At 34.4% G+C, this 11,329-nt stretch overlaps 1 protein-coding gene across 12 annotated transcripts in view; it reads left to right on the top strand.

The window, feature by feature from the left end:
- Window positions 1–11,329, top strand: part of ALKBH8 (alkB homolog 8, tRNA methyltransferase) — a 63,009-nt gene that overhangs the window by 2,413 nt on the left and 49,267 nt on the right. For 8 of the 12 annotated variants that reach the window (NR_165421.1, NR_165423.1, NR_165426.1 and 5 more), the window contains exons 2-5: window positions 2,424–2,558; window positions 6,320–6,557; window positions 9,345–9,476; window positions 10,120–10,215. Coding sequence is in view for 6 of the 12 variants with exons in the window: in XM_047427871.1 (XP_047283827.1) it covers window positions 2,424–2,558; window positions 6,320–6,557; window positions 9,345–9,476; window positions 10,120–10,215 (601 nt within the window). In the remaining 6 variants the exon portion in view is untranslated. Of the gene's footprint in view, window positions 1–2,423; window positions 2,559–6,319; window positions 6,558–9,344; window positions 9,477–10,119; window positions 10,216–11,329 lie in introns of those variants that run through there. The other 4 variants (NR_165422.1, NR_165424.1, NR_165425.1 and 1 more) reach the window with 2 other exon arrangements.

The raw sequence follows: 11,329 nt of genomic DNA, 5'->3' as shown, positions 1-11,329 counted from the left end.
TGTGGTAACTAAGAAAAGTGTGATTTAATCCCGCCTTCAGAAAGCTCACAGTTCAGTGGAAGGGGACAGATACTAAAACAAATAATTATAATTAATGCAATGTTAGACATGTCCATTCACTTATCCCCTTCCTGTCTTAATGACGACTGACTCCTAAACCTTTTTAACCTCAGTTCCTTTCCTAGGAGCCACTTTATTTTGTCACTTGCCAGCCAGACATTGCAACTCTGTATCTCACAATACCTTAAACATTATTCTATCCTAAATATGACTCATTACCTCCTATACTGAGCAGCTCTTCCTGAACCTCCTCCTGACTTTCCAGTTTTGAAGTGGTAGCACTCATCTCTTAGTCACTCAGCCTCTAACTGGTTAACAAGTAATCTTTGATTCCTGTCTCCCTCATATCTGGGTAGTCATCGAGGCCTCTTGATTCCGCCTGAACTTTTCACTCACCCTTCCTCTTTCTCCTCTCCCCCTATTTCGCTTCTTTCTGTTGCCCCCAGCCTAGATCAGGCCAGCATTTCTAATTAACAAGCTGGATTATTATTATTATTTTTTTTACCTCTCATCTCTCTGCTATGCTGCCAGCCAGCCTGCCTGCCTCACTGGCCTTACATCCTAGTATGTACCCCCTGTGCTAGGAAGCTGGACTGCTGGCATTTTAAGAGACTTGGCATTTGTCTTCTATACTAAAGATTAGTAATTAGAATTTTGACTGTTTATGATTTCATGTGAAATAAGATAAATAAGATTTTATTTAACCCCCAAATTTGTATATTTGGTTGACTTTGAAGACTTTAAAGTCCGCAGAGAGTGGGACCGGTCTAAAAAAATTATGCCTGTGTCTTGGTGTCTTGGCCAAACATGTCCATTTTGGTTTTAGCTTCTGCTCTTTACTGCCTCACTGAATACTTTCCTTTTTATTTGATTCTATAGTGTTCTTATCCTTCAGTACATGGCACAAATCTCCTGTTTTGAGGCCTTCCCAACTTTTCCAGTTTACATACTTTTTTTTTTTTTTTGAGATGGAATTTCACTCTGTTGCCAGGCTGGAGTGTAGTAGCATGATCTTGGCTCACTGCAACCTCTGCCTCCCGGGTTCAAGCGATTCTCGTGCCTCAGCCTCCCAAGTAGTTGGGACTACAGGTGCCCACCACCACACGTGGCTAATTTTTTGTACTTTTAGTAGAGACAGAGTTTCACCATGTTGACCAGGCTGGTCTTGAACTCCTGACCTCAAGTGATCTGCCTGCCTTGGCCTCCTAAAGATTACAGGTGTGAGTCACTGCTCCCAGCCCACATCCATCTTATTTTTGTCTCTAATTTGTGTCATACCTAAAGACTGTACCATCAGCATTAAATTATATAAAGATGTGTCATAGTCTTATTGTTTAGTGTTTGTTTTCCACAACTAAGTTACAAACTTGTTGAAAGCATAAACTATGTACTTTATTATGGTTGCATGCTGCAGGGTGCTGAGACTGTGTGTATTCACTCATTTATTATTCATTTAGCCCTACCATCAAATATTTATTGAGCAACTACTATGTGCTGGCATTCCTGCTCTCTTGGGATTTATATCATGATGGAGGAGTTAAGCTAACAGATGAATCATCACAAATTATGTTACATTTTGTGAACAAAATAAAAGACTACTGTGATAAAGTGTGATAAAGCATGATATTGGGTGCTGATTTGGATGGTGTGATTATAGAGACCTCTTTGGGATTCTGTTATTTAAAAAATTGTAGATATAAAATATATGACACATACAGTTTTTAAAATAGTAAAACAAACACCTACACCTACCATGTAACTGAAGAAACACCCTTTGATGCTCCTATGTGTCACTTTCATGTTAATTTCCTTTCCTTTCACCCACAGAAATAGCCTCTCTCCTGAATTTTGTGTTTATAATTTCCTTGCTTTTTTTTTTGGCACTGCTATGTATGTATTTCTAAATAATATATGGCTTACTTTTTGATTATGACCTTTATGTAAATGGAATCATACTGTAGAGTCTGCTAATTTTTTGTGTGTTATTTCTCCCCCCACCGCTCCCCTGCCTGCTCCTTGCCTTGGTTTACGTTATAGTTGTGAAATTTGTGTATGGCACATTTTACTTAGGACCTCATAAGTAAAGAATTCATCACCTATGAGTAAAATAGCACACTTAATGGAGCTACCACATTGGAACATTTTTTAGAACCATCAGAGCTATGCTATTAGATATTCTTAGATATTTGTTCATTTTTTATTTATCTGTTCTCACTTCTCTTAGTTGGTACAAGGTAAATGAAGCATTTTTAAAAAATTGTCACAGAAATATTGATAAACTATAGAATGTATGAATAACATCATTATAATTGTTCCTTCAGGACTCTTAAGGTTGACTTTTTTACTGTCTTGTTTTTTTACAGTTTGCTATGGACAGCAACCATCAAAGTAATTACAAACTCAGTAAAACTGAGAAGAAGTTCTTAAGGAAACAGATTAAAGCCAAGCATACTTTGCTGAGACATGAAGGCATTGAGACAGTATCCTATGCCACTCAGGTGACCTAAAACTACTATTATTATTAGAATGTAAATGTACTGACATGTTAATGTATTATATTAATATTTGCTAATAATTGCCTAAGGCTGTAATTGTTCAGTCATGTGTTACATCCATATTAGAGGTACATATGATATGAACTGCTAACTTTCTATTTTGGTCCATAGCCTATAGTTTGCATTTCTATTTATTTTGTTGTTTGAACTAGAAGAGGTTGTAGTTATATATTAATAATAATACTGTGCAAGTTTCTCAGTTTCCTAAGCATACTTATATTCATTATTATATTTAATTCCCTAGAAGTCCTTATGAGATAGGTGAGAAAACTAAAGTTCTGAGAGGTTATGATATGTCTCCATTGATATAAGCTAGTAAGTAGCTAATAGAAACTTAAAGCTAGATCTTCCATATCCTACTACAGCCCTTGTTCTTCTCTTCCCAACCTTAACCTGTTTTATAAAGTATTTTGATTATGTGCTGTTAAACATTTTTATTTTATTAGACCTTATTAACAAAGTCTTTTCATTATCTGCGGACAATAATTAAATGAGATGATAAATGTGAGGATCGTGAGATTTCCTGGGTTATGAATTAGGAGAACTCAGTTTAACTCTTAGCTTTTCTGGACACGAGTAGTAGTATCCTCTGACCTCAGCTTTCTTCATTTTTAAGCAGGGCATAGTATTGCATACCTTTTTAACCCCATTAGATTGTTAGATTCCAGAGAATCTAATTGTACTTACTGGACATTAAATTACTCCATGAATATAAGGAGTTCTTATCTTTTTGGCTCATAAAGTTATAGAATAAAAGTAGAAAGTAAGCTTTAGATATCATTTAATTGAGGGGTGGACATACAATTGAGAAGGTGGAGCAGGGATTAAAACTTAGGCCTCTCAACTCTCAGACCAATACTCTTGCCTTAATGCTTACTATGCTGTCTTCTGTACAACATCATAGCTTGAGAATGAGCAGTCTGTTGAGGCACATTTGAATTTAGGAGGTAAAAGGCCCATACTTGGAGTTAAATATTAATGTCTTCAGAGAATTTAAGCCACATTCCTATAGCAAGGATGAAATAGATAATAGATTAGAATTAATATGTTTGCATACACTTTACTGTTTCAGTCAAGAGCCACTGAGGCTGTGAGACATTCAGAAGATTAAACTGACATACACTGCTCTCATCACTTTCCAAGAGTGACTTGTGTTCCTTTCCTTACAGGGTTTATGAAGAGAAGTAGCAAGAAAAAAAAAATAGGCTCCATTTCTTTGACCCCTCTGAAGCTTGTTTCTGGTTGGGTCTGCCTTTTCTTTAGGATCTCTAGAAGCTTTGATGTCCTTCATGGCTTCCAAAGTAGCATTTTATTTAGGCTTTCTTTTTTCTCCATATTCTTAAAGGAAAAGAATAAAATTGTAGATGGACCTCTAATTATATTTTATCTTTCCAGGGGAGAGCAAATATTGTTTTAATGATATTGTATTAGTCTGTTGTCATGCTGCTGATAAAGACATACCCGAGACTGGGTAATTTTTTAAAGAGAAAGAGGTTTAATGAACCCACAGTTCCACGTGGCCGGGGAGGCCTCACAATCGTGGCAGAAGGCGAAAGTCCTGGCTTACATGGCGGCAGGCAAGAAAGAATGAGAGCCAAGCGAAAGGGGAAACCCCTTATAAAACCATCAGATCTCATGAGACTTATTCACTACCACGAGAACATTATAGGGGAAATGGCCCCCATGATTCAATTATTTCCCAGTGGGTCCCTCCCACAAAATGTGGGAATTATGGGAGCTAAAATTCAAGATGAGATTTGGGTGGGGACACGCCAAACCATATCGGATGTATTATAATTTTAGGCTCCTTTGTACAAATTTATGGCATTACAGATTTTTCTAGAGCAATGATCCTCAAATTGTCAGGACCAAAGATAACTTAAAAAAAATTCACATTCTCTACTTCATACATACTCCTCCTTATTTAGAAAATTGCTTGAACAATTATAAATAAAATAATAGTTCCATTTAATTATTGCATTAATTATATTACATTTAGTTATGACATTTAATTATATGTATCTCACATTTAATGGAAAATAAGTTCCTCTCCTCTTCTACCGCACTTGTTTTTGTGTGGTTTACCTTTAGAGTTGCCCACAAAACACTCAGACGGCATCTTAGAGGACTTCTAGTATTCCTGAAGTCATACTTCATCATCTTCCATTCCTAGATGGGGTAGTGGACCCTCAACACCAATGAAACCTTTGCTCTTCCATAGATTTAGGAATATGGGAATGTTTTTGCAACTATGGCCACATATAACCAAGTTATTTTGGTATTTTAATTAATAAACCTCATTAAGTGAGGTCCAGGGCAAGCCATCTGAGACTCCATTTTACTCCATATCATATAGTATTGTATTAGTGGGCTTGTTTATTATGTATGTATATGCTTGCATGCATACAAAGTACTGGCTGTCCCATGACAAAACAGTTTTACTTTCCTTATTGTCCAATTTCATAATAATTCTTTTATATCCTTTTCAAACAAAGTTCTAGGTATTCTTATTTTGTGTAATAAACCAATACACAATGTACTATCACTGAGCTTAGTATAAATTAAGGGTTGGCAAACTACTGTCCTTAGACTAAATCAGGGTTGTGACCAAAATAATGAGTTTTACATTCTTAAAGTGTTAAAAAATAATACTAAGACTATCTGACAGAAACTTTTATGGCCTGCCAAGCCTAAAATATTTACTATCTACCTCTTCTCAGAAAAACGTCATCAACACCTGGTATAAATGAAGAAATTGATGAGAGTAGGCCATCCATGGCTTTCTTTTGTTATATTGAAATGTTTTTAGAAGTCATAGAACATAAATTAAAAATCTTTACATTGTATAGAATGGTTAAGTATAGAGACTATATGGGTGCTAGACCATGAACATCAGAATAAAAATAAGAGACTCCTCTTTCATCCCTGCAAAATTTCCTTGAATAAAGTTTAGTGCAGGACTATGCAAACAGCAGGAAGTAATCGTGAAACTTACAAAGGAAAAAGTTTTCATTGTGAACTGACTGAATTACTTAGTCTGAATTTCCTTAGAGGAAAATTTTTTCCTAATTATGTTCAATAGAAGCTATAATTGGTTTTTCTTTGAGGTAATAGTACCTTTACTTTTAATTTTTAGTAAACATTGTATAATGGTTATATTAAAAGTGCGGATCCTGGAAACGGACAGAAATAGGTTTAAACCCACCCCTAATCACCACCTTAACCTAATTTGTCAGATCTTCTTCTATGAAATTGGGCTGATATTACCCAAATAAATTCAATATGTTGTGAAGATTATGTTAATGAGGATTGAGTAGATAAAAGCTTATAGAACAGTCTTGCCAAAAAGCAAGTGTTATGTAACTGTCCTTTCTCCTCTCCACCTCTTTCATTATGTTAAATTTATATTTCTGAATAATAGTCATGTTTTAATTTGCATTTATGGTCATTTAGAAATGAATATTTTGTGAAATTGGCTATTTAAACAACACAATTTACAATATAGGAGTCCTTTTTATTCCCCAAATTTTTAGTAAATTGGTTTACATACTTTGTATGAAATTAGCAAACCAAACAACCACTACAAGGAAATGCTTTTTTTTTCTTAATTACATCTTTTTTAAAAAAAATCTTATTTTAAAACAAATGGGTTGGTATCAGTTGCTCATGTTACTTTCTTTTTGTTTGTTTGTTTGTTTTTTAAGAGCCTGGTTGTTGCCAATGGTGGTTTGGGTAATGGTGTGAGTCGGAACCAGCTGCTCCCGGTTTTAGAGAAATGTGGACTGGTGGATGCTCTCTTAATGCCACCTAACAAGCCGTACTCATTTGCAAGATACAGAACTACAGAAGAATCTAAGAGAGCCTATGTTACCCTCAATGGAAAAGAAGTAGTGGATGATTTAGGACAAAAGATCACTCTGTATTTGAATTTTGTGGAAAAAGGTATTATCATACAATTATCTTTTAAAAAATGATTCTTCTGGGTGTTTTCTTTTCATAGACTTAAGTTGGGAGGTTCAGTTATTGTGAAACAAAATGAGGAAGCAGGTTAGCAGCTCCTTTTACTTTAACAAACATTCTTTAAGCACCTATTTGTGCCAGGCATGGGACAAGTAGTTGACAGTACAGAGGTGAATAAGATACAACCTGCCTTTACAAAGCTAGTCCCACCAGTCAACAATATATTTATTAGGCACATGGCTTATTTTGGAACCCTCCTGCCTAATTGTGTTTTTCAAAATTTAATAATGAGGGTTTGCATTACTAGTTTATTTCACATATCTACCCAGGAGCTTTGAATTAATCACTTAAGAATGAATCGTGATCCAAATGATCATGTACCAATCTTCATATTTATAGCAGAACACCTGTAGCTACCAAAGATTCCTAAAACTTTATTTTTATTTATTTATTTATTTTTTTGCTTTTTGAGACAGAGTTTTGCTCTTGTTGCCCAGGCTGGAGTGCAATGGCACAATCTCGGCTCACTGCAACCTCCACCTCCCGGGTTCAAGCAATTCTCCTGCCTCAGCCTCCTAAGTAGCTGGGATTACAGGCATGTGCCACCATGCCTGGCTAATTTTTGTATTTTTAGTAGAGATGGGGTTTCACCGTGTTGGCCAGTCTGGCCTCGAACTCCTGACCTCGTAATCCGCCTGCCTTGGCCTCCCAAAGTGCTGGGATTACAGGCGTGAGCCACCGTGCCCGGCTGATTCCTAAAACTTTATGGTGGTGCTGTCCAGTAGAACTTCCTGTGATGGTAGAAATGTTCCTGTCTGTGCTGCCCAGTTCAATAGCCACTGGATAGTCTGATTGAGGAACTGAATAATTTAATTAAATAAGTATAGCTTTATATATTGATTTACAGAATTGTACAGGAATTATTACTTCTGCCCCATGAAAATGAGATGTATTGAGATGAACTTAGATTTAAACATCTAATCATATATTCATTTGCCACCTATTTAGGCAGTAAAAGAGCCCTGTTTTAGATATCCTAGGAGTGGGTAGGTGACTATAATCTGCTCAAATTTATGTTTTTGTAAAATAAGACTCGAAGGAAAACTTTTACAGACTCTTTTAAAGGTATATTTTAGAAACTATATTTCTCAGTGCTCATATGCATTTAATTTTAAATCTGACTTAAGCTTTACATATTTTGGAAACTAGATTATCCTCATGTTTTACATGTTTCTGGTCAGTTTTTGAAAACTGAGTGGCTGAGGAGTAAGTTTTAATCAGAAAATAGTCATTGGGTTTACCCCCGTCCTCCATGGTGAATATTCAGTAAGAAATTGCACAAAGTAAGTTTTGGAGTGCTCTTTATTTGAAATTCTTCATTAGATCCATATGTACTTTTAAGGCTCTGGCAATCACATTTATAACCTTGAAAGTCATTTTTAATTGAGAACAGAAGTGTGTCACAAATAGTTTTTTTTATTTTTTTTTGAGACAGAGTCCTGCTCTTTCACCTAGGCTGGAGTGCAGTGGCACGATCTCAGCTCACTGCAAGCTCCACCTCCCGGGTTCACACCATTCTCCTTCCTCAGCCTCCCGAGAAGCTGAGACTACAGGTGCCCGCCACTGCGGCCGGCTAATTTTTTTGTATTTTTAGTAGAGACGGGGTTTTACAGTGTTAGCCAGGATGGTCTTGATCTCCTGACCTCGTGATCCGCCCACCTCGGACTCCCAAAGTGCTGGGATTATAAGTGTGAGCCACCGCACCCAGCCATCACAAATAGTTTAATGCTTGTTTAGATATCTGCTACCAGGCAGCACTGAATAACAAATAGAAGAGATATTTTTAATTCTTTTTAAAACAACATATTTCGGAAACTAAATCCAAATTACTTACACTGTAAATTACTTTTCTTTAAGGAATTCTTTGCAAAGTTTTCCTTACATAATTTGAATACATAATATAATGTCTGGCACATAGTAGGCAGTGGTATGTATTTAGCAAATGATTTACTATTCATGTTTCTGAAATGTTATTAATAGAATCTAGTAAATAGTTGCTATTTTTGTGAATTAAATAATTCAAAGATTTAATCTGCCTGGCAGAAAACTGTCCAGCAGAAAAGCTTCAGAGATCATGTGTATAACATGAATGATCAGATCTCTAACAATAAATGTGAATACACTATTCCCTTTGTTTAATAGCAGATTCTTTTTTCTTTTCCTTCTAGAGCTATACCTATCTGAAACTTTGAAGGACACAGGAACTTAAATTATTTTAACATCTGCTAAATAATTCTTCATAAATGATATTTTGTATTTCTTTAGAAAGTTGTATTTTATTTTACATTTCTCTATTATATTTTCTATTTCTATTTACTATAGATAGTATCAAGAGCCTAAGAGCAAAAATGAGTATTTAAATTCTTGTATTCATTATTTAGACTATCTGACTTTTTAATGGAGATGCATACTGTGGATATTATGAGAAACCTTGTGAGATTTTAAAAGTGACTTCATCATGTTCACACCGGCTACTTAAATAAATACTGTTCTGTTTGCTGTTGGTAATTGCAGTGGATAAAGTGTACCATCATTTTGATCTTGGTCTTTGTTTCTGCACTTTTAATATGTTGGGTGCCTTTCAGCAATCTTGTTTCCGAAAATGAGGATTTGAAGTTTTGTGAACTGATAAAGAGTTATTGGGCAGAATTATTTGTATATAGGAACTTTAAGTTTTGCATGTGACTATTTTAATTTGGTTTCCCATAGTGCAGTGGAAGGAGTTGAGGCCTCAAGCCTTACCACCAGGACTCATGGTAGTAGAAGAAATAATTTCTTCTGAGGAGGAGAAAATGCTTTTGGAAAGTGTTGATTGGACAGAAGATACAGACAATCAAAACTGTAAGTAAAACTTTCAAAATCTGATATTTGAAAGTTTCTGCAAAACTCTTCTTCCTTTCCTCTGTCTTTCATGGTTTATTAATATTTCCTCAAAATTACTGAAACTAGCCCGGATCCAATGTTAGGCAAGTCATACCAACAATTCTTAGGAACATTAATAATAAATAACATTTATATAGCTATCAAATTTTAACTCCAAACTGATTAGTATTATCCAACATTTATATAGCTTTTATAAGCCTTTTCACTTATTTTATTCATTCCTCCCCACCCTAAGGCAAGTTTTCCTTGAGGAATTAGCAGTTCAGTACCACAATATTATAATATAGTGAGAGCTTCCTGGAGATATTTGCAAATTGGAGTTTTTCTGACTCTTTCTAGCTCATTGGCAATGTTGTAAATGGTAGTGTACATGTTAGTTTTCAGATTGATTGGGTAAAACTCTTGAAGAGTTTGTTACAATTTTAGACTTGAAATAACAACAAATATAAGGCAAAATGGTTAATTTTGTTAAAGACCATAATTTACCAATTAACAGAAGTTGCCATTACTAAACTAATCCTTACTCAAAAAGTTGACTGAAATATGCAAAGGAATGTAATTCTTTTCCTTCTTAATTGTTTACTTTGTTCTCTTCACACAGCTCAAAAATCCTTAAAACACAGAAGAGTAAAGCATTTTGGTTATGAGTTCCACTATGAGAACAACAATGTAGATAAAGATAAGCCATTATCTGGGGGTAAGTAATTGCTAATACATAATAAATTCTGGCTCAAAAATATTAATATATTAGTAGAATATGATAGTTGGGGGATTATGTTTCTTTTGTCATTTGTAGATAAACTTTCTGAACAGTTTATTTAAAACACTTTAATTAGATAAATTGTATAGTTTTGTTGTAAAAAAATTTCAAACTGGATAGAGCTGAAGTTCATCATTATTATCCTTATTCCCATGCTGCTTCTCATTTTACTGAATGATCCATAATAGCTTATTCAAATAGTTCTCTATCGATAGACATTTAGGTTGTTTCTGGTTTTTAGCTTTCATAAGTAATGCTGCTGTGAATATCTTTGAACATGCCTCTGTGCCCTGTGCAAGAGTTTCTCAAGGGAGACTACTAAGAAGTAGAATTGTCATGTTGAAGTTTATGTTCACTAAAAAACGTTAATTGATACTGACAAATTGCTTCCTAAAACAGTTGTACCAGCATATTCTCACCAAATGTGTACCTACTTCCCCATTCCCCAACCTGTGGTGTTGTAAAGCTTTTAAATTTATAATTTCTTGATTACTGGTAAGGTTGGTCATTTGTATTTCCTTTCCTGTGAATTCCTTTTTATATTCTTTGCCAGTTTTTTCCCAATGAAGTGTCTAATTGATTAAGAATTTACTGTATATTCTGGCTTTTAATCCATTGATATAATTGGTATAATTCTTTGTTGGAGTTAAATTTATCTATTTTTTTAATGACTTTGGTCTCACTTAAGGCTTTTCTTCCATCATGAAACAACATTTATGACTCCAATAAAAGTAAGTTAGTTCCACTTTGGAAGATGTGTTTTTTTTAAGGGAAATAATTTAAAATAATTAAATTTAAAATAAATGGTATAATTTAAAATAACAAAAAAAGAAAGTGGACAATTTCAATATATAGTATATTTTTATAATTTTATTGCTATTTTATAAAATACCAAAACTGTTGTTAGAATTGTTCTTTTAAACTTTTTATCTGAAAAAAAATCAATGAAATGACTTTAAAAGATTCCTAAATTTTTTTATTTTTTAATTTTGTTTTGCTTGTGGGTTTATTAATGGACCTGACTGCTAAATTAAAAGCTCAGAGATTTATA

This window comes from Homo sapiens, chromosome 11 (genome assembly GCF_000001405.40).
Source record: "Homo sapiens chromosome 11, GRCh38.p14 Primary Assembly".
In the NCBI taxonomy this organism is placed as follows: domain Eukaryota; kingdom Metazoa; phylum Chordata; class Mammalia; order Primates; family Hominidae; genus Homo; species Homo sapiens.
Note: the sequence above shows the minus strand (reverse complement) of the source record. Positions and strands in the feature narration are given on the sequence as shown.